At 41.8% G+C, this 24,076-nt stretch overlaps 1 long non-coding RNA gene across 1 annotated transcript in view, besides 1 other annotated feature; it reads left to right on the top strand.

Annotated features, from left to right (window-relative positions):
• LOC105372028 (uncharacterized) overlaps positions 1-24,076 on the top strand; it is a 40,865-nt gene that overhangs the window by 8,969 nt on the left and 7,820 nt on the right. The gene's annotated exons all lie outside the window — the stretch shown is intronic.
• Positions 2,189-2,358: an enhancer, noted in NCBI's record as "experimental_47845 CRE fragment used in MPRA reporter constructs". NCBI's record gives its function as "activates a minimal promoter by MPRAs in K562 erythroleukemia cells, with activity observed for both the introgressed and non-introgressed 18:22316987 variant alleles {active_cell/tissue: K562}" and the evidence as "EXISTENCE:reporter gene assay evidence [ECO:0000049][PMID:34662402]".

Raw genomic sequence — 24,076 nt, forward strand, 5'->3', positions numbered from 1 at the left:
AGAAAACAACTCTGGTCTGAAGTTGTTCTACATGCTTACATAACCTGCAAACTATGTGCTTGGCTGGGCTTATCAGGGGCTGGGGAGTTTTGTGATTCCAAATCTCTAATGTGTAACCTCCCATAGTGTTAAATGGAGGTGAGGTGGAACCCCACTGTCACCTGGCTTGGCCATGATGAATGAGCCCTGTCAGGCCCGTTGTCCGTGGGAACGTCCAGCACCGCACCCTCAATCTTCTTGTTTCTATCAAAAAGATGCCATTGCCCCCAAACATGCCTCAACCTGGCTCTTTCCTGGGTGTTCCCAGGGCTGCTGCTTACGGAATAAAGGCAAAGGCAGCTTGGAAGTAAAGAATTCATGCTAGGGAGTTACACAGACCTGGGTTCTAATTCCACCTCACCACTTGCTAGCTCCGAGACCTTGGGCAAATGCATTAACTGCCTGGAGTTCCACATTCATCAACTGCAGGACGGGGTCCATAATAAGTGCTTTTTTTCTTGGGATGTTGTAATGCATTTTAAATATATGCAACAATGCAGGGTCACCAGTGCACCTTGCCTGGGGCCCAGTTGGAACTCACACAGGTGAGCTTCTGCTACTGCTACTCTTGTAGACAGGCTGGTGTCCAGGGCTGAAGGCTAGTTGGGAGGAAGGCTCTCTGTCCCCTCTTCACTGAGAATCAGCAATAAGATCTCTGTAGTTGTCTGTTGAAGCAGGTTTGGGTTGAGGGCATAAAAGGCAGAAGTACATGCGTGTTGTGTTGTGTGTGTGTTTTGTGTGTGAGCTGTGCGTGTGTTGTATGTGTTTTTGTGTGTTGTATATGTGTAGTATGTGTGTGTTTTGTGTGTTATGTGTTTTTTTGTGTTGTATGTATTTTTTTGTGTGTGTATGTGTGTTTTTGTGCGTTGTGTGTGTTGTGTGTGTGTTTGTGTGTCATTTGTGTGTTTGTGTGCATTTTGTGTGCTGTGTGTATTGTGTTTTTTGTGTGTTTGTTGTGTGTGTTTTGTGTGTTTGTGTGTTTTTGTGTTGTGGGTATGTGTGTGTTGTATGTGTGTTGTGTGTGTTGTATGTGTGTGTTTGTGTTTTTTGTGTTGTGGGTATGTGTGTGTTTTTTTGTGTTGTATGTTTTTTGTATGTTTGGGCTATGTGGGTGTTGCATGTGTGTTTTTTGTGTGTTGTGCGTGTTGTATGTATGTTCGTGTGTGTTGTATGTGCTTGTGTGTGTTGTATGTGTGTTTGCGTGTATTGTGTGTGTTTGTATGTGTTGTATGTGTTTGTGTGTGTTGTATGCGTTTGTGTGTTGTATGTGTGTTGTATATGTGTTTTTGTGTGTGTTGAGTGTGTTGTGTGTGTGTGTTGTGTGTGTTGTATGTGTTTTTTGTGTTGTGTGTGTTGTGTGTGTTGTGTGTGTGTGTTGTATGTGTGCTTGTGTGTGTGTTGTATGTGTGTTTGTGTGTGTGTGTTGTGTGTGTGCTGTGTGTGTTTATTGGCCCATTCTTGCTGAAGCTCAGCATGAGCATGTTGCCATAGAAGGGTCAGATGTAAGGGCTGCCCAGAGGTGATCTATAACACTTCCGATAGGAAAAGAAGAAATAAAACAGGGAAGGAATAGGAGTGAGGTAGCCAGGAAAATGCCAATAAAAGAAGGAAATGTAGGGGATTAGTGGAAATGAGGCTTTCAGCATTGAGAATTCTCCCAGGCCATTTTAAAGTTCTCCAAAATCATGATAACTTAATTCCTGTGTCAATAAGGGTTTCACACACTTTTTGTCTAATGGCAGAAGAAAGGACAAGGCGAAAGATTCCTTCCACAGGGCACAAATTGTGCGTTTTGAGTTCTTGAGTGACTTAAGTGAGAGTATTAAAGGGATGGCTTGTGGCTGACCTACTCTCCTTCTAGTTGATCAGCCAACTGTGTGGAAGAAATTGATGATTTCTCAGTCCCCCTTAAGAGCACACGGCCTGATTCCTAAGCTTCTCCCCCGCTCTTGTCCTCGTCTCCCTCTGTCTTTCTTAGCGGCTCCCAAATTTTGGAATGACTCTTGGCCTACACAGATGGCGTTTACTGACTTTGTCTCAAAACCTTTCTTGCCTTCCAATTCTGTCATAAGTTTCTTTATGCCTTATGGCAACCGCCCTGTTTTACAAGTTTCTACTTGTGCTTGTGGCAGATGGATTTCCCACACCCTGGCTGGAAAAGACAATGAATGTGTTTGAGGATAGGTTCTTTTAGGTGTCAATAATAATAACGGGAAAATGTCACAGTACCTATTGGAGACAGACTATGAAATTACTATACTTGGGATCCCCAGGGAAAAGAAAAAAGAAGAGTTAAAATCCTCAGAAGGTATTTGAGAGGCATCTTGGCTTGAAAACTTGACTGCTGTGACTTGGGAAAGCAGAGAAATAAAGCAAACCAAGTTTTTTACTTGCTTGGCTAGAGGTTTGTTTATCCTGATCATGTGAAGCCTGAGCCAGCAATTCCAATGATTTTAACTGCCCCTCGATGCTTCTCTGCATTTGGGCAGGGGAACTATTAGAATGGGCCAGTTAGCTCCTACTATGATGGGTGCAGGACACAGATTTCTCTTGGGAAACCAAAGCTTGAGGTTCCTGATAATATGAATAACAAAGCTAATTACACTTCAAATTATGTTTGAAAACACATTAAACTCAGTTTTATATACTAATATTTACACCTTTAAGTATTCGGCCCAGAAGAGTAGAGCAGTTCCAGGAAGGGCTTTGTGTAATCAGTTAATGCTCATATAGAAAGCTCCAGGGCAGCCCAGGGATGATGCGGGCATGTTCCAGTTGGTGCCTTTCCTCTGTATCCTGCCTCTCGCTCTCTTCTTTCCCTGCTTATTCCCACACTACTACTTCCCAGTTTAATAAAATGAGAGGAGGCTGAAGAGGAGCTGATGGGCAGGTGGCTCTTATGACGTTCCATCCCCTCCTTCTTGTGTCTTTGTCTCTGCAAAGATGTAGCCGACATTAAAGGGGATCAAGAGAGGGATCCCCTCTCCTGCTGGGCCCAAGTGAGTTGTGTTCTGACTTGTCTTCTGAGTGTCAGCCAGGATGCTTTTGGTTCTAAGGGACAGAAACCCCCATTCCCACTGGGTTAAACAATAAAACACAATTTTTGGCTCCCGTATTTGCATAGTCTGTAAGTAGGGTATCTTCAGGGTGTCTTCAATGGTCCAAAAGCATAAACCAGGACCCAGTCTCTTTCCTTCTCTCTGTTCCACCTTTTACATTATCAGCTTCATATTAGGACTGGATCCCTTCATAGTCACAGAATAGGTGCCAATGCCATTGGTGTGGCAATGTAACTCATTATCCATGAAGAGACAGAGAGAGAGAGAAAACACAAGTGAGCTTTTTTGTGTGTGTGTGGGGGTGGGGGCTGGGGGGTGGGAAGAGATGTCTCAAAACCATGAAAATAAACCCCAGGCATTTCTTTGTTGAATTAATTTAAGTTCTATATCTCAACTAATTGCTAAATTGGATGTCTAGGGAGTGTTGGGTGCTAATTGGCTTATGCCAACAAGACCTAGCCCTGGAGCTGGAGGAGAAAGCAGGTGGGTAGAGAAGGAGAGGTGGCTCAAATAACATGCTGCTACTCAACGTGGAAGAGATGCCCATTACCTGTTCTTATTCCTTCTAAATAAACTCTACTTCATCTTCATGATCCAGTGTGATAACCCATTGATCTGTCATGTACGTAATACTAGGATTGGCAGGTATTGGCTTTATGAAATCAGTAACCTGTATTGTTGGTTATTTGTATTGTATCCACAGAGGCTCCACAACTGTCTCCATTCAGGGCGGTTGTGTGCCTGGTCATCTTTGGTACTGTCTATGCGTCGGGTCTCAGTAACTTAGCAAAGGATCAAAGATAGTGCTTTTCTTCTTCACCTAACTGTGGTAACATTTTCCTGGAACAGAACTGACATCCTAAGAGTGAAGCTTATTGGAATCTGGTAGGATGATAAAGGTATATATGCCACATGTTGGAAGTTTGAGTTAGAGAAATTTATTCTGTTCTGGAGTATCTGCTTGAGATATGGGCCATTGGCAGAACAAAGCTGCCTCTTTAGACAGTGTGCTTCTCTGGGTTGAATTGGATATTTTATCAGTTCCTTTCTCTCCTTCCCCTTCTGTTACTTTATTTTGTACCAGAAAAGAGAAGGAAATCAATCCACTAGCACATCTGTGTTTAAATAGGTTTGGTTGTGAAACTTACAAGTGTACCAGGGACTGCATCTACTTCCTGCTGGAAAGCACAGAGGATGAGAAGAATTCTAGGACCAAGGCAAAAATAAAATACAGATTATCATTATTAAGTGCTTACATGGTTTACTAATGAAGCAAGTGAGAAGTGTCAGTTTAAATTTCCACTATCACGTGGCAGTGGTGGTAATGGTTCGTCAAATGATAATGATGTTAACTGCTTGGTTTTCTGATGGAGAGGTGAAAGCCAGCTCTTACCTCCTGCTTTAAGATATTCTAGCATTCTCTAGCAGTGAAAGAGTTTGAAATGGCTATCACTGAATTATGATCATCATTTAAAATTTTCTCCACTAATGAAAATTGAGATGAGAAGCAAGACCTGAGCATGCGCTTTTCCACCTGGAGAGCAAGAAGAGACCTTGGGGAGAGTAGCGGTCACCACAACTGTAGGTTCAAGTCCTCTTCATGGCAACTTGTAGGAGCTCCAGGCTTGTGATCTAGTGCAGAGCAGGTAATTGGGATTCCTGGAGGCCTGAGGGATGCCAGACTTGCTCACATCTTACAAGTGAAGAATAATTCATTCGCTCCTTCTCCTTAAAGGAGCAGGTTAACTTGGGTCTGGGTCTCTTAGTTCTTGATGTACTGATTTGTTCTTCAAATGCTTGCATTCCTCGCTCAAGCAACTTAACACTTACAAAATTTCTCTTGCCAAACAACCTCTCTTTGTTTTACACACGATTTCTGTAGCTATATTAATATATTGACTCACTTGTGCTAACCTGATGCAAGTCTGTTTCCTTAAGGTGAGTTTGCCTATCTCTGCTCTTATATGTGCCCAGTCGTTTTTACAGTCGAAATATCAGAAGGCAGTTTTCTAAGATCTTTTTAGGGTGCACCTTATTTTTGACTTTCCTATCTGTCCTTGACCACTGCGCTTTTCCTTTCTGGTTTCCATTGTATCACTTCTTCTTGGCTCCCCTTGAACTCTTCTCGATCAGCTTCACCTCCACAACTCAGTTATTGAGTCAATCAACTGAATGCCTCTCCTTCAGGTGTCTGCTCCAAGCCTTCTCTGTGTCAGATAGGGCTGATGTCATTTGGGAAATTCCTCCTGTAACAAGCTGTCCCTGGAGAACCCTGGCAGATTAGGGAGAAGCCAAAGCCGCCAGTCTCCTGCAGGTATTTCCCACTTTTTCCTGCATGGCTTGGCATTATTTTCCCCTGTACTCTCACCCCGTACAGTAGTCTCCTTCCCCGACCCTGGTCATCCTCCATGTTTACCTCTGTTTTGCAGGTTTGCTTTTCAAGGGCCAGCATTATGTGTGCCTTTGAGAAAACCACAAAACTTTCCCCTCAGAAGGTTCTCTCTGGGCACCAGCCTGACCATGCTGGTGGTTTTAGGGATGAACGGTACCAGAATATGCCATCTTGAAATGTGCCACTTTGGTATAAGGATTATTTTGAGTTAAAGACAATTGGGAACCTGCAGACCCAGGAAAAGTTCTTTGCCTCCTCCTGTCTAAAAATAAAGATTTCCCCCCACCCCTTTTTTAAAGGAAATTTATATTTATAAAGAAAATTTCCATGAGTAACATTGTCTCTCTATGGGGAAGAGTGCTACTCCCAAGACCTCTCTCATCACCAGGGAGATTCTTATCTGCAAGACAAGATGACCCTTACTTACCATTCGTTTCCTCCTCTGCCCTTCCCAAAACTTGTTTCCCTGCCCAGAAGCCCCAAATCCCTTTTCTTTGTTCAGCTTATGATGGTATGCCAGCTTCAAACATCTATAAGCTTCAATCAACTGGCCATCTCCTCGAGTCTTATTTCTTTGTGAAATTCCCACGCTTACTTGCTCATGTACATAATTAAACTGTTTTTCCTTTTGTTAATGTCTTTTATCAGTTTGATTCTTGGAGCCAAGCCATTGAAACTAGGAGACTGGAAGGAAAAAGATTTTTCCTCCCCTACAGTGGCCATGGCAATTCATTCTGAGCTGGCATCCTTGAAAATGTCAATCTTATATGTATATTATAAATATTTTGTCTCTAGCTGTCTTTCAAAAACTTTATTTCATGTGTATGTGACTGGGACTCCCGTCCTTCAAACTAACCTAGGTTTGCATTAAGACGTCAAGTGTTACTGTCATCTCAAGCCTCCTTCCATGTTATCTCTACCTCAAAAGGGGGTCATATTGGACATCCCATTGCAGGAGCTCAAGCTTCCATAAAGATTCCATCCTAGATACCACAGTCCTTAAAGGCCAGTAGCTCCCTCTCAGCCTATCAGCCACTTTCTTCTCCATTGTCAAAAAGGTAGTAGCAAGACTAATTGCATTTTCCAGGCTTTTCTTTTCTATTTAAGTTGGTGTGTGTCTTTATTCCTGCTTGGTAAAAGGAGTGTTGGGAATGTATTAGGAGGAGATGTGAAATGTAATTCTGCTAAGGCTAGAGAAATCCTGACTGAGTTGTAGCAAGAAAACAGCTTGTTAAACACCAGCTGAGGCAGAAGGTTTCGTCTCATTGGAACTCTACTTATTCAATGCTTGAACAGCTCTTAGAACAGCAGGAACCTGGGAGTGTCTCTGTATACAAAAGGCAAGCATGGTAGATGCTAAACTGGCATTCATTTATTGGAATCCATTTTGGGTACTTTTCCTATTTCTCTCCTGGGAAGACATTGTTGGTGGCATCTTTGAGTTAGATACAGTCATATTGCAGACACTTACATCTCTTGCTTGGAAGAAAGATAGGCCGGATTTGAAAATAAAGTTGATATTCCTGTCATAGCACTAACAAAAGATATTCTCACCAAAAAAGGAGTTTTTTTTTTGTTTTTTTTGTTTTTTGGTTTTTTAGACTGAGAAAAATGTCACATGTATTTGATCTGCATTTCAAAAGGTGGAATGCAACCACAGGTTGCGTATATCAGTCATTGGAAGACTATCGTAGTCAACAAATTAATACAGACCATGTCTCCCTCCTCTACATTTTGTTCTTCTTGTGCACGCTATTGATTGATATACCTCAGGGAGAAGATTCTTCTGACTCAGACACTGAGCAAGTACCTAAAGAAAATATCAGCTTTAACAGGGACTCAAGGAAATAGCAGCAGCAGCGAAAAATCGCTAATCTTTCATTTATAAGACCTACTGAACATCTGGAAAGCATGCGGCTTCTTTAACCCCCGGAGTGCAGGAACAAATGAGCACCAAAGGGCAGCCCATGCTAATGTGGTGACATTAATTTGAATACAATGGAGGGCCCTATAACAAACATCTTCAGAGCCATCTGGGTATTCCTTTACACCTTGCACCACTCCTTGGGGGCACTGGAGGTACAGCTTAATGGGAGAAGAAAATCTTTGGAAGTTGAAGAACAGGAAAGACATTCTTTCAAGAGCAGTAGTGAGTTAAAAAAATATAGTAATCAGAATGAAAAAAATCAAGCAATTCATAGGAAAAATAGTTTTTAAATGATTCATGGGGGTGTTGACTGAAATTAATATTTATGTCTCTCCCTCACCCAGCATTGATAGCATTTTTAGCCAAATGTCAGTGTGTTTGTGAAAGAGTAGGAGAAACAACATGCATCAGGAATGACTAATGTGAAGTTCATACTGAGGGGAGAATATAGGCCTGACATTTAGTTGAAATGGTGCAACTTTTTCTATCACCTTTCCATGGGGCACACCATCTGAAGAGTGTTTAACTCCATTTAAAATATATAAGCATGGAGATTATAATATTTATTGTCTTTTGCTCCTCTCCATGGTCTCATGGGATAATGTAAACATGCTGTGGAGTTGCTTTGTATAGAAGCCTCAGACAAACAACCAATGCAAGAATTAATGCTGTCATGCAGCAGTTGTAGCAGCCACTCCAAGTTTAGAAATAGGGAAATATTTCTAAACATGTCCTTTCCTACCATCCAAAAAGATTTCCCACTACCTCCTTAAAGCAGAGAGTGCACCCTGGCAGCCAGGGCCCAGATCTAGCTCACAGACTAGAATTGTTGGCTCACACAAGGTTTTAAACATTTTTTGCAGTAGTTGCCAACATGGACAAAAATATCCAGACTTTTGATTCCTTTTAAAAACTGGAAAAATATGGCAATGGTGGTACCCACAATTTGACACAGCAAAAGACAATTGGAGTGGAGATTGGCTGGGACCTGAGGACACGGCATACCCTCTCTTGCTGTGACATTCATTTACATTTGTTTGTAGGCATTTGAGTTTATAGGAAGCCACTGAAGATGTTTCTCAAAAACTTTGAGCAGCACACTGTATTAGGGTCCTCCAGGGAAACAGAACAAATATATATATATATATATATATATATATATACACACACACACATATATGCGTGTATATATTATATATATGCATATATGTGTATATATTATATATATGCATGTATATGTGTATATATAATATATATATAATATATACACATAAAATACATGCATATGTATATATTATATGTTATATATATAGGTTCTGTTTAATGTTTTATATATATGCATATATATGTATATGTATATATGTATATGTATATATGTATATATGTGTATATGTGTATATATGTATATATGTGTATATGTGTATATATGTATATATGTATATATATAAAACATTAAACAGAACCTATATATATAACATATATACATATGCATGTATTTTATATGTGTATATATAATAAATCCTTATATATAAAAATAAATATGTATTATGAGGAATTAGCTCATGCAATTATGGAAGCTGAGAAATCTAGATCTGGAAGAGCCCATGGTATAGTTCCAACCCAAGTCTGAAGGCCTGATAGTCACAAGAGCCAATGGTCTAAATTCTGTCCAATCTGAAGGCAGAAGATTGATCTCCTAGCTCAATGACAGTTACTTAGAGAAAAAGAATTCTTTTTTTTTTGACAGAGTCTTGCTCTGTTGCAAGGCTGGAGTGTAGTGGTATGATCTCCGCTCACTGCAGGCTCCACCTCCTGGGTTCAAGCAATTCTCCTGCCTCAGCCTCCCAAGTAGCTGGGACTACAGGCGTGCACCACCATGCCCAGCTAATTTTTGTATTTTTAGTAGAAACGGGGTTTCACCATGTTGGCCAGGATGGTCTCAGTCTCTTGACCTCGTGATCTGTCTGCCTTGGCCTCCCAAAGTGCTGGGATTACAGGCATGAGTCACCGCACCCAGCCAAGGAATTATTTCTTAGCCTTTTATTCTACTCAAGTCTTGAATGGATTTGATGAACCCACCACATTAGGGAGGACAGTCCATTTTACTCAGTCCACTAACTCAAACATTAATCTCATCCAGACACTCTCACAGACACACCCCCATTTAGTCAAATGTCTGGGTATCCCATGACCCAGTCTAGTTGACATAAAATTTAACCATCACATTCACCTAATAACTGCTTAGCTTAAATGAGTGCAGGGCAGGCCTCCTACATGTCTTTTATCTAAAACCCTGACAAGACCACTTGGTTAGGAATGCCTCTCAAGTCACAGGCATCTGGTATGAAGTAAGAGAGCTGGAGAAAAAGTTTCAAACAATAAGGTGGATCCCAGAAAAAGAAAACAACTATTAATTTCTCTGATGGTTTGAATATGTCCCCCAAAGTTCCTGTGTTTGAAATGTAATCCTTATTGCAACAGTGTTGGGAAATGGCACCTTTAAGAGGTGATTAGGTCATGAGGGTTCTACCCTCACAAATGGATTGATGTAATTTTTGTGGGAGTGGGTCCATTATCTCAAGAGTGGGTTTGTTATAAAAGTGAGTTGGCCCTCTCGCTCTTTCTCTCTCAAGCCCTCTTGCCATGTGCTACCTTTTGCCATGTTATGAAGGGGCAAGAAGGCCCTAACCAGATGCAGCCCCTCGAACTGGGACTTCCCAGGCTCTAGAACTGTGAGTCAAATAAACTTCTACTGTTTTTATATTACCCAGTCTGTAGCATTCTATTATAGCAGCACAAAACAGACTAAAACAATTTATTTCTCAAAGTTCTCTGTGTACCTTCACTTTTGATATCATAAATAGCTATGAAATAGGTGTGAAAATCTACCTATAACTGTGAAATTCAGATGTCCACACAGTGAGAATGGTTATTTCAGAAGCTTGTAATTCCATACTCAGTGGGATCCTGGGTAATTAATTAACTGGATGTGGGAGGCTTGCCCAGGATCTGGGTGCAGATTCTGAAAGTAGCACCACCCAGAAACTTCCCATGCAAACCCTGGTGAAAGTGCAAGGCTGCCCTTTTGGGACATGTCATTATCCATACTGGCTGATGCCCCTTGGGTGTTGGTGGTTAAGAAGGAGCAAAGCATAGCAGCTGGTACTTAAAGACAGTGAAAATCACAGTCAGAACGTTGTTCCAACATCTTAAAGATGGTGAAAACAATTTTAACTCAAAGGCAAATTTAAGGTCACAGGTAGCAGCCCCAGTCTCCACTCACTGTGAATGAGTTGGGAGCAGATGCATCAGTTAAAGTAATTACTTTTCATGAAAAGCTTTAAAAAGAGGTAGCCACATACAACATGCTGTCTACCTCATGAGACATCAGAATGATAATACATTTTAGTTTAGTTCTTTTTGTGGACTATTGTTTAAATATAACCATTGACAGTTTCTTTTTCTTCCTTTTGTAAGAAATATTTAAAATGAATGACCACTTGGTGGCTGATTTCCGTCAGTATTATTCTGTCATTTGACACATATCTTAAATCTCTGCCCCACTGGCTTTTGCTCAGTGTTCCTGCCTGCTCAGCCCCCACCTGGGCTGTGGGCGTGCCTAGCAGGGCTGAGACAGAACCAGAACAGCTTTTCCACTGTCTCTCAATAAGAACTCTCTCTCTAGGGCCCTTGCCTACCCCCTGCCCTTCAAAAGGGAAAGCGAACCTGTCCAGTGGGCATGAGTGGTCATGAATTAAGCGGTGCCAAGTGCTCAGCTCTCCACCGGGAGCAAAGTTCTCTGCCTCGTAGCATTCCTGGCCATCTGGGCTGGGAGATGGAGACCACTGTGGCACCAGAATAACCTTGGCCACTTCTTTTGCAACTTCTGCTTCAGGAATTGCCATGCCCAATGGTGTGGCATGTGACACAGGGGGCATGGATGCCATGTGACCTGGAGGGGCACTGTCCTATTCTCTCACCTCTAATGCCCCTCTTTCTCACATACTCACTTAACATTCTCTCTCATAAGCTGAGGGAAGGAGTTCTTTCTTACCAGGATGCGAGCTGGGCTGAGCATGTATGTGCACACACAGACACACACACACATACATACACTGAAAATGCTTACCATCCTCACAGGAGCAAAAGGGCTCCCCGCAATGGCAAGGTCAGGCTCCAACTTGCTGTGACCTGTGGGGAGCAAGGGGCCGTCAGGCTGGGGAGACAGTTTGATGAAGTCTGGAAGAGGAAAGGCTCTGGGGTTTATTCTGCTGAGCCTGGAGGTTTTACTGCATGTGTCTTCAGTTACCAATTTTTGCTTTGTCTTCATAAGCAAATTTCCTCTTTCACTGTCTTTGCTGGCACCAGTAGCCACACATAACTAGTGGTTACTCCCAAAGACTCCAAGCATCATGTAACATACTATCTTTATTAGTTACATTGTATTTGATGATCTTTCATGATTTTCCAAGTTGACTAGATCCTTAAGGATTAATGAAACCAAAACGGTGTGTGTAAGGGAATACATGCTTCATCTCTCCTGCTGCCCCCGAGTCCAAGCTACTTAATTTATCACTAGTATGTGCAATAGTCTCCTAACTTGTCTTCCTGCTCTGATTTCATCTCCTTCAATCCATTCTCACATAGCAGCCAAAGTGATCTTTCAAAAATGCAAGTGGTATCTTTTCTTTCAAGTAATTGAACACATATTTATTGAGCACCTACTATGTGCCAGGCACGGTTCCAGGTGCTAGGAACATTGTGGTGAATGACAGAGATGAAGATTTACTCTGTCTGCTTATGAGACGGACACTTTAATGGCCCCCACAGGTCATAGGATAAAGCTACAAGCCTTAAAATGATTGAATACAAGACTATGCCTGATCTGACCTCTGCCTTACTCCCCAGCTTCATTTGGAACCTCTATCCCCAGCTTTTTTGCTTCCACCACAGTGGGGTATGCCAAGATCCTCTCCCTCAGAACCTCTGCACAGGCTGTTGGCTCTTCCCTACCCTGTCACCTACTTCACTGCCACATGCCTTTCGTATCTCAGTTCACTGCCCCTTCCTCCGTGATGTCTTGTCTGGTCAGTCCACCCCCCTACCCTTGACTAGATGAGGGTCCCTTCTGATATTCTTTCTCTTAGCTCCCTGCCCTTTTATTTCATGACACTTATCATAGGATATGCTCCGCGATCCCTATACTATATGATGACCGGTATCTCTGCTTTCACCACCAGATCGTATGCTCTGGCAGGTAAGAATCTGCTGTGTTTTTTATTTTGTTATATCACTTCTTAAGTAGTGTTTGGTAAAAATTGAAGAATGAATTAATGAAGGAATTTCAAAAAGTGAAAAGGACAAATGAACTAAAAATAGCTTTGTACATATAGCTTAGAAATATTTAGATTTTTACAGAATTCTTTAATTTTTAATGTTTTTTATTTTTGAGAGAATGGCTTATCCAAAATCACACTCCATGACTGTTAGGAATTTAAAAACGTCTGAGATTTTATCTATTTGCAAGCTACAAGTTAGCCTGTCACAGTTTCATGGATGCTGACAGAAGATAGGAGATTCCTGGGTCAGAGAAAATGGATTCTCATTACTCACAGAACAGCAAGCAGCATGAGCATCAGTGTGTTTGCATAAGTTTCCCTTCCTCTCAAGTCCCATAGAAATGATGGGGATTGCCCCAGATGGATATGCTACAGGAAAGCATTCCAGAGTTTAGGGAACCCAAATCTTTTACAATGGACAATAAGCATGCCTGCCCTTTGCTCCAGGAAAATATAAGCAAATTATCTTTTTTTTTTCTGAAGGAAAACGCTGTCTCTATCTGTTTGCTTTATAAATGTCCTTGCTTTATAGATAGTCCTGGAGAAAGACAATTACTGCATTATTCACGGGATGTGCAGAAGCATTAGCGATATGTCAAGAATTTTCCCCCAACAATATTCACCCCTGATTTTTACACCATCTTGGATTCTGGTGATTTTTCCATGAGTATGCCAAATCTCTGGCCACTCTAATTAATCTGATTGACAGAGACCAGGGCCAAATCTAATCAACCGATTTCATGTAATGTTTAATTATGCCCACTATCAACAGGACAACTCCAAGCAGCAGGATGAGGGCAGCTTGTGGTATTGACCTCTACCATGGCCCCCGTGTCTTGGATCCAGCCAGCTGGGCAAATTCCGTAAACCTAAAGGACTTAACTTTAAAAGTCAGGTGACTTTCTCCTTTGGTTTCCGTATTGACCTTTTCACTTGGCTGAGGAATTCATTCAGGTACAGCAGGATGTTTTAGTGATTGCTTAGACTTTGCTTTGACAAGAGAGGAGGAAGTCTAGGCCTGTTCTCTCATCATTAACAGCCCTGGCCAGTGAACTGAGGCTGATTTCAGTGCCTTCAAGACCCAAAGTCGTGTCATTAATCTCTTCAGCTAAGATAAATTTCGTACCACCATTTCTTTCCTTCCTTCCTTCCTTCCTTCCTTCCTTCCTTCCTTCCTCCTTCCCTCCTCCCTCCCTTCCTCCTTCCCTCCTCCCTCCCTTCCTCCTTCCCTCCTCCCTCCCTTCCTCCCTCCCTTTCTTTTTTCTTTTCTTTCTTTTCTTCCTTCCTTTCTCCCTTCCCTTCCCTTCCTTTTCCTTCCTTCCTTCGTTACTTTCTTTTCTTTTTTTATTCTCATTCTGTTTTGAGACAGAGTCGATTCTGTTGCCCAGGCTGGAGTGCAGTGGCATGATCATGGCTCACTGCATGCTCCAGTGATCCTCCCACCTCAGTATCCCAGGTAGCTGAGACTACAGGCATGCCCCATCATGCCTGGCTAATTTTTTTTTTTTTGGTAGAGACAGAATTTTACCATGTTGCCCAGGCTGGTCTTGAACTCCTGGGCTCAAGTGATCTGCCCACCTCAGCCTCCCAAAGGGCTGGGGTTATGGGTGTGAGCCACCACACCTTGCCACTGTACTATTTCTGGTTGGATGACTCCTATAGTAGAAAAAGCTGGCCTCAGTGTGGGCACAAATAACATACCCACCATCTCTCTGGGAATCTCTCCCAAATACCCAAGGGTAGCCTCATTTTGGAGAGCTCTCCACAGTCATATGAGAGCTATGTAATTTACTGGTGATATTTGCTTTAACAGCTGACTTGAAGTTTCTTATGGCCACCCCTGAGGTACCAGATTCCACACAATTTGTCTGAAATTTAACGGACTTCTGTGTCTGTCATTCTCCACCAGATAGCTCTAACAAGTCCAGCAAAACAGCAGGCGGTGGGGCCCAGTTCGTGTACCTTCCCTGCAAAACACCCTCACACCTCAGGATGTTTTTCTCACCACTATTTCCATAGCTGTCACTATTTCCATACCCGGCTTCTATACAACAAGTGTAGTTGCAGGAGTGTTCATGGTTCCCCTAAGAAGGAATCATTGTTTACAATAGATGCCCCTCTGCCTCCTCCTTCAGGTTGGACCTATGGGAGTTGGAGGGCCCCAGCTGTCCGTGCTGTCAGCTTGGGATCCCATTTGGCTGGTGGACCTTAAGACTCCCAGTTCAGTTCCCATGTCCTTGTTTTTGGCCTGAGGACAGTCAGTCCAACCTGTCCTGTTGGTCCATGTTGCCAGACTGGAGGCGTTCATCTGCTGCATGGGATGACTGAGTGACAGCTGGGAAAAGAGTGATGAGGAAAACATCCAGAGGTGTTGAAAGGGTGTTTTGCAGGGGAGGTGCAGGAACTGGGGCTCTTCTCTGCTGTTTTGTTAGAACCTTCTGGTGGAGAATGACAGGCACGGAAGTCAGTTAAATTTAAGGTGCTTGCTTCAGGTTGAGAGAGTGACACCAGGGCATTTTCCTTCGGGATCAAGGGTCCAGGGAAGTTTCCGAAAGACAAGTAGTATTAATCTCCCTCACTGCTCCATCCCTTCTGGATTCTGAGGTGTTCTCTTCTCTAGTGCCAAGGTCGTTATTCTTCTTCCATGGCCTCAAAACTAGTGTGTCCCATTCCAGGAGCTATAATATCACCTTAGAAACATCATCCGATATTCACACCCATGCCTTTCATTCAGAGAGGTCAAACGTGAGAAGGACAAGGGAATTTTTATGAAACTGGCAGAGACCCACCATATCCCCTACTTTGGCACATGTGGGCCACTGTAGGGGACTCGGTGAGTAGTGTACTCAACCAGGCAGTCATCATCCTTATGCCCTCTTACCATGTCAGTCCAACAAGAGCCCCCAGATGGCCAAACTAAAATCAAATTTAAGTCCTTCAGGCCCCCTTCTGCCTGTGCAGAAGATCATCCAGAGGGTGATCCAACCAGGCTTACCTAGAGTTGTTTTGGGGGGACTGCAAAAAGCATCATGCCCAGGAATGGTCAGGAAAGATCCAGAATTTTCAAAAGAGACTTATGTAAACCCTCATCCCTTACATCCTAATTATTACCCAGGAGGTGAAAGAGAACATAATCCCTTTCTGGGAACAGCCACATTCAATAGCCAAATTGTCTTAGGAAGGTATATATACTAGAAGAAGGTGATTGAGGTAAAGTCAAAAATATGAAAAAGCCTTTCCCAACTCAAAATAATACCATATACCTGTGGATGGCAGGGAGTGTAGACTGCCTATTCAATACCTTGACCACTAGCCTATAATCGGGTAGCTTTGTGATAAAAAAGTTTACCATTATCAGACTACAAATGGTCCAGAAAGCCAAAAACATGATGCATCAACTTCAAGGGTTATGTGTAGCCTTCCTCACTGGGAGATAAAAGGATCAAGGCAGGAGTCACAAATTCTTTTGGCAGAAGTCACAAATCTGGCATGCAGTGGGACCTTCTGCACCAGAAACATAAAGTCCTTTGCTTTGTCCACAGTCCATGATGGTGGCCATGTTGCTGTGTCTGGGAAGATGAGAGATCATGGTGGCAATGGCAGCAATCTGGACATTGTAGACCCCATCAAAAGCTTGATTGCAGCCCGTCTCATCAGAGCACAGACCCTTACTGTGGGCACCTATAGGAGCGACCCAGATGGTTTGATTAGCAGCCATGATATGTTTCCACATTTCATGACCCCAAAGCAGGTTGTCTTCAATCTGCCAGTCTGTAGTTGTGTAAATGGCAGACTGAATAGCTAAGCCATTGGCCACAGTCCAAGAGTTAGGAAAAATATACTATGGTTCATCAAAGGGAGTATTGGCTGGAGCTATGAGGATGGGTTTGAGTTCTGCCCACCGAGCAGAGCAACCACATCCTGGTTCTGCGTAGCTGGCAGGGAGTTGAACAGCTGTTGGACACCATCAGGTTTTAGCTTAGCTGAACCATCAGTGAACCAGGCCCAGGCACTTAGGGGAAACTCTGTGAACCAAGGGCCTCACTGAACCAGTGGCTTTACTTCAGGTGGCAGAATGGGGAATAAAATTTTTCTCAAGGGACAGCTACCACTTTTTTGTATAAAGCCAAGATGCTTCTGGAGCCAGGCTCGCTTCATACGTTTTTGACAAGAGGGGCTTGTTGGGCTCTTCTTACCTTGTTAGTCATTGAGTTCTAGTTCACTCATGCCAAACAAAGAACTATCAGAGAGTTACGAGGCCTCCTTGCATCAGGTGTTCAGTTTGGATGACAGCCATACAGCAATCTCATAGCTTCTTTCCAAAATGCTTGTACCTGTTAATCATGTCAGGGAGGTAACAGGTCAAAAACCCCAAGGGGCATCTCTGAGTAGAATATGCCTCCCTTTGCCAGAGACTCCAATAGGCAAGTTCATCAGTCACAGGGACTCGTGGCTCAAAGTGGCCTCATTAGGGTTGAGGGCTCCCCAAAAATACAACCAATTCTTTACATGTGGCTCTTTCTGACTGGGAGAATCCCCTTTGGAGCTTATGGGATGGGGAAGTACAAATATTTAATGTATGTATTGGTATTAGACATTCAGAGGTAGAAGCAACTACAGCTCCTGGTCAAAGACCCCACTCTCAATGTCACCTTAGCTTCTCCCATCTACTGTGAACCTCACTCCAATCCCATTGACTGAATTTGAGTGCTCCCTTCTCCTGTGGGACCATGTGTAATCGTGACCTGGGCAGCTGTACTTAACAGCGTCATAACAGTTTTATTCCTTCTCCTCACCAAAGTTCCCCTGCACACTCATATGCGTGCATATGGTCTTTGATCTTGCTTGGGGACAGAGAGACTGCAGCCTCACCCCTAATCATCTTTTTCCTTAAAGAAACTGAGGTCAGAACAGCGAGAGAGGGAGGGATCAGGGCGTGTAGGGAGAGAGTGGCTCTGAGTTAATAAGTAAGGCTTTGCATTTATTTTCATCTGAGAGTGGCCATTTGCTCTGAGCTCAACCAAACAAATTTGTAATGTCTTCAATCCACCTAAAATTCTATGTCCTCATTGATGGCACCTTACGTTTCAGCTTTAGGGACTCCTGGGCTCAGCAGGGACAGCCATATTGCCTTTTGTCTGGGGCCATGGGCTTGCTGCCCCATGATAACATTTCTTATAAAATTTATGTATTTATTTATATATTTATATATATAAATTTCAATAGCTTTTGGGATATAAGTGATTTTTTAGTTATGTGGATGAATTATGTGATGGTGAAGTCTGAGATTTTGGTGCATTCACCACCCAAGTAGTGTGTGTTGTACCCAATATGTAGTTTTTTTTTTTATCCCCCACTCCTTTCCTACCCTGCCCTGCTTCTGTGTCATCAGTATCCATTATACTACCCCCATGCCTTTGCATAACCATACCTTAGCTCCCAGTTATAAGTGAGAACATGTAGAACATATTTGGTTTTTCATTCCTGAGTCCCATGGTAACATTTCTTCCTCCTCTTTCCTGAGGGAGAGTGAGCAACAACAAATGCACCATTTGGGTGCTTGGTCAACCCTACCTATTTCTGCTCATCTTCTAAACGTTCATCAACATTCATTACTCTCCACTTGCTTACCACTTTAGTGAGTGCATTCTATCAGATCTCAGGGGGTCTTCACATACTCCCAAACATGCCCGGCAGGGTCCTTTTTCCTCTCATCCCCAATACTGTCAAGAGCTGAGGCGAGGTCTGAGATTTTTGCTATATTTCTCCATTTCACAAGTGAGGGACCAGAAAATAGGGCAGGCATGGATATGTTAAGTTGCTTGTCGATGTCACACAGTAATTAAGCTCTGAAGCCAGAATTTGAATCCATGCAGTTGCAAGCTGACATGGCAGCCTATCAGTTTCAAGGATGCTGGCAGAAGACTCACAGTCCTGGATCTCACAGCATGGCAAGAAGCAAGAGCATCAGCACATTTGTGTCAGTTCCCTTTGCCCCCAAGTCTCCCAGAGATGATAGGGATGGCCCCAGATGGATGCCTATACATACAGTGGTTTGTATTACAGGAGAAGACTCTGGGATTAAGAAGCCCAAATCTGTCATAATGAACAGTAAAAGCAGGCCTACAGTTTACTCCAGAGGGAGTCCCTATCTTTTTTCTTCCAAGGCTCTTTGCTTTATAAATGCCCTTCAACAAATAATTCTGAACAAAGGACAGTCAGTGCCCCATTTGCAAGATGTGCAGCAATGCAAGATACCCAGGGTGAATTATATCCCAATAACAACTAATAATGGGTAATGGAAAGAGCTTGTTGAATTAATGAATGACTGAACAATCCAGACCTGGGTTCCAATCTCAACTCTACTGTTAACATCTTTGTAATCTTGGGAATGACTGAATTTTAGTTTCTTTATATATAAAATGATATATTAATAATAAGCTCTTCTGAGAGCTTACTATATGCCAAACACTGATCTAAGTACTTTTCACCTAGAATATTATCTTATTTCTGATAACTCAGGAAATAGAAACAAGGATTTTTTCCATTTTATAAATGAGGCACTAGAAAATGGGGCAGACATGGATATGTTAAGTTGCTTGTCCATGTCACTCAGCTAGTAAGTCCTGAAGCCAGGGTTTGAATCCATGTAGTTCACTCCAGTTTCAATGGTTTTACGCACTACCCTCTGCTCCCTACATGAGTCCTAATAACAGTATCTGCCTCTTTGGGTGTTGTATGAGGATTGAAAGAATTGTTATGTGCTTAATAAAGGATGGTATTCTTTCTTTCTCTTTCTTCCTATGGCTGCTTATTAAAACAAACAACCCCTCACTCAATATCTTAGAATCTTCTTTTTTAGAAATGGTGATTATTACTTTACCAAGTAAAAGTGGAAAAATATGTCTCCCCAACAAAAGGGAGAAAGGCTGAACAGTGAGTACAGTGTGGTGATGGGGGGTTAGCATGAAGGAATTAAACCCAGCCCTTTCCAGGTTGAGGAAGAAGAGCCACCCACAATGGTGCCTGGACCCCCAGGTGTCTGTGAAAAGGCTACAGAACTGCAGATGCTGGCTCTGAAATACTTCTTCCTTCATCAACTCCAGATGAACTAACCCACAGAGAGAGCAGCCTGAAAGACTGTCTGAGAAATATTCAGAGAACTAACCATGAGGCCTCTAATTCATAGCAGCCTAGAACAAGCGGCATCTCTCTGTGCTCTTGTCTGGGTGTTGTTCTTGGGGTAATCTGAGCTGCCTGCTATCATCACCATATATAACAGTCCTGGCCTGGGGCTCCACTACAGCTCCAGAAAAGAAAAAAAAAAAGTCTTGTGGTTTCAAAGGCAACTTGGCCTAAAATGTAACTGTTAAAAGCCTATACATTTAGTGAATGTATAACAACTAAATTTGAAACATATTTAATGGAGATATATTTATGTGCCATTAATTCTCCGGGAGGGTAATTTATGCATCCCTGTGTAACGTTGGCATTCAATAGATATTGACGTCACACTGCTTAGAATCATTTCAAACAGACACTTGGGCAAAATGAGTAAAATGACATTTGATGGATTTTATGATTCAATTATTCATTCCCAAGGTATGTATTTTCTTTATAATTACATGCTTTTTAGATAAATATGAAAGATTTTTGGTGTGGATTCAGAAATCTTAAAACTCTCATTGCATTTACTTGGCAATGGCCCCTGCTGGGACAAAGGCACTTTATTATAGATAAGTACTGTTAGCTGGGCTGGAATGAAAACTAGAGAAGAAGAGGCAAGGCATGAGCTTCCCATAGCACTTTCAATTTGCAGGTCCTGAGAAATCCTAAACCCCAACTAGAGAGAATGAATAGAAAACTCTGTTGTACTTGCTACTACTTAAGAGAGGTAGAATTGTCCAAGCCAGAGGAATTATGTTGAGATTGTGCTCAGAATAGTACTTTGTACCTACCACTGTTACAGCACCTCTTTATGTCTTGTTTCTTTACCGGCGTAAAACCCCTTCCAGTCAGTGGGCTCCTCGAGGGCCATGACCAGATCTAAGTCATCTTTGCATTCTGGCAACTGGAACAGAAGAGGCTCACAACGCATGCTTCTTCTTTTAGTTTTGGCCACCTTCTTGCTTTTGCCATTCACATTGCTTTTGCAAAAGGTCTGCACAGCTACTTACCTTGTTTTATGCCCCTGGTTCTTTACTTACGTTCTTCTGTCTACCCGCAGTGCCGCATTCCCCATAGGTAGCTCTGTAACTTTTCTACTTGTCTTTAAGAACTCAGCTCAAAAAAAATTGTAGAGGCAGTGACCTGACACAGATGAGAGGGACTGTTGGTGAGGCAGTCTCAAAAATATGGGTTTTTTGGTCGGGTGCAGTCTCACGCCTGTAATCCCAGCACGTTTGGAGGCCGAGGTGGACAGATCAGTTGAGGTTAGGAGTTCAAGTCCAGCCTGGCCAACATAGTGAAACCCCGTCTCTACTAAAAATACAAAAATTAGCTGGGCGTGGTGGCGTGTGCCTGTAATCCCAGCTACTCTGGAGGCTAAGGCAGGAGAATTGCCTGAACTCGGGAGGCGGAGGCTGCAGTGAGCTGAGATCATGCCACTGCACTCCAGCCTGGGCAACAGAAGGAGACCCTGTCTCAAAAAAAAAAAAATAAATAAATAAATAAAAAATAAATAAAAAAGGGGGATGTGGGGTGGGGGGCTGTTTTCATGTTTTCTTGTCCAGGGTGTACCTATTTGAGAGGATGGTGCTGCAAGCCACCTAGTCTAAGAGAAACTTTTTAGGTCCCTTCAATTCGTTTCCTTGTCTTCATTTGCATCCATTTGCATTTGGATGACTTAGTTTCCCATCTATTTTGGTTACAAGTAGGGAAGGTAGTGGGAAGCTTACAATAAACATCAGGCTCATAAGTTGATAGCATGCTATGTATATAAATCTTTCTTTGAAATTGGCTAATGTGCTTTTATACTATATATGAATGTCTTATCTGATCTACTTATCTATCTGTCTATCTCAGGCTCTGCAAGCTTGATTAATGTGAGTGTGCCCCTGAGCCATCCATTTGTTCTCTAGGTATTAACAATGTTTCTGACAATAAAATCCTGGGCCCTGGTGAATTCTTCTGCTCTGTGGTGAATTGTCTGGGTGACCAGCTTGCTGTCTCTATGTGCCAGCCCTTTACATTGCAGTGTGGTATGCATTTTTCCTAATGGATCTACAACAGTTATCTAATCTAATGAACAGAAAGAAACAGGTTTAACAAAATACATAAAATAGAATAATAGAAAATAAATCAACAAAGAAGGTGCCCGTCTGTTTTCTTTTCTTTTTTTGTGAGTACTTAAAAAATTGAATTGCTAAATGATTGCTATGTGTCACAGGTTGTTAACATGCGTTCACAGATAATTACTAAACCAGCAATCCATTGATAGTGCAAATCTCAAATCAGAATGCCAAGTCCTTTTTTCCAGACTCTTGGAACTCTCACCTGGAATCTCTGAGCAAGTCTGAAATAGGAAAAGAATTAGGACAGTGAAAAGGGAGGGGATTTTGCGAGGCAGTTTTACATGGAGCTGCTGGTGTGCTGTGCATCTTATGACCTCCCTCAAAAGGGTGGGTGGGTGCATCTGCCTCCTGACCCTGAGAAAAATGAGGAGACATTGCTGAGACCTAGAGACATGGAACTTGTTTCCTGAAGTTGGCTAACCTAAAGGATGGAGTGCTGGGTAGCAGGAGAGATGGCTGCACCTGGGAGGTCCCAGCATACAGCATTATCTTCCTGACAGCAAGTGCAAAGAGCAGGTGGTACATTGGGGTTGGCCACAGCACTTCCCCAATTTGCTGGGCAAAGTTCCTATGTTTTCCATTAGCCTGATGTTTGTACATTTCCCAAAGCCATTGCAGAGATAACCTATCTGGGGCTGCTTTTGTTGTTGTCTGTTTGCTTTGTTTTTTTTCTTTGTAAACTTTTAATTGAGGACAAATATGCATATAAATTCATATATATTCATGTGTATTAGTCTTAGTGAATTAAATTCATATATATGTAAATATGAATTTCATGTTCATATATATGAATTCAATTAGATTCATATACATATAAATATATATACACCTCTACAATGAAGCACATAGGAATTTTAAATTATTAAATATTTAACATCTACTACATATCCACAAGAATTAAAAATTAAAGCAAAAATAAAAAAAACCAACAAAGTGGTGTAAGTAAGGAAAGAAAAATTGAGAAAAATATTTTAATGGTCTCAAAATCTGTGAATCATTAGAATGCTAGAGGAAGTTCCCAAAATAATTCTCTGAATGAAATATTTTAAAGTGTCACCAAGAGTCTTAATCCTAAGAACTTTGGAGAGACTCTGTCTCTTTAGTTTTCTTTAATATATGGCCTTGAAAGAAATATGCCAGTGCAATAAATGTTGACTAGAACAGGTGGGCTTTGCAATTATGGTTTGCTATAGAATTAAAGGTAAATTCTAATGAACTGTGCAGAAGTATGAGCTCATAACTAGGTAGGTAATGATATGGTCAATGCCAAAACACAGTTCTCAGAGAGAGCTGAAGCTTAAAGTTTGACATTTTATTTCTTTGTTCCATGGGTTTATTTTTTGAATTTCTTAATGACTATGAGAGGAAGTAAATTAGTATCCTTAAATATCCATTGGCTAAAATCAATAGCCATTGAAGCTCCACTAATGTGTTCAGTTCGCTTTGAACAATGCAAATAAAAAGCAGAATGTTCTACCCTAAAAAATTATTAACCATTTAAAAATTTAGCATATATAAAATTAACTTTTTAAAAATGTACAGCTGTATGCATGGATATGTACATATTAATGTAGCCACCACTATAATCAGGACACAGAGCAGTTCCACCACCCAAAAAAATTTCCCTCCTGCCACTCAAAATCCTCCTCGACTCCTGACCCCTGGCAACCACTGGTCTTTTCTGCAGCCCTGTAGTTTTGTCTTTTCCAGAATGTCATATAAATGGAATCACACAGCATGCAATCTTTTATGTTTTGCTTCTTTCTCTTAGCATAATGCTTTTGAGATTTATCCATGTTGTGTACATCAAGAATTCATTCCTTTTTATTGCTAGGTAGTGTTCCATTGTGTAGATGTACACAGTTCATTCAGCCACCTGTTGAAGGACATTCGGATTGTTTCTAGTTTTTGACAATTATTAATAGACTGTACGAGTTTTTGTGTGAACATAAGTTTTCATTTCTCTAGGGTAAATACCTAGGTATGGGATTGCTGGGTTATATGGTAAGTGTATTTTAACTTTATAA

The sequence above is a fragment of the Homo sapiens genome, chromosome 18 (genome assembly GCF_000001405.40).
Source record: "Homo sapiens chromosome 18, GRCh38.p14 Primary Assembly".
NCBI lineage: Eukaryota > Metazoa > Chordata > Mammalia > Primates > Hominidae > Homo > Homo sapiens.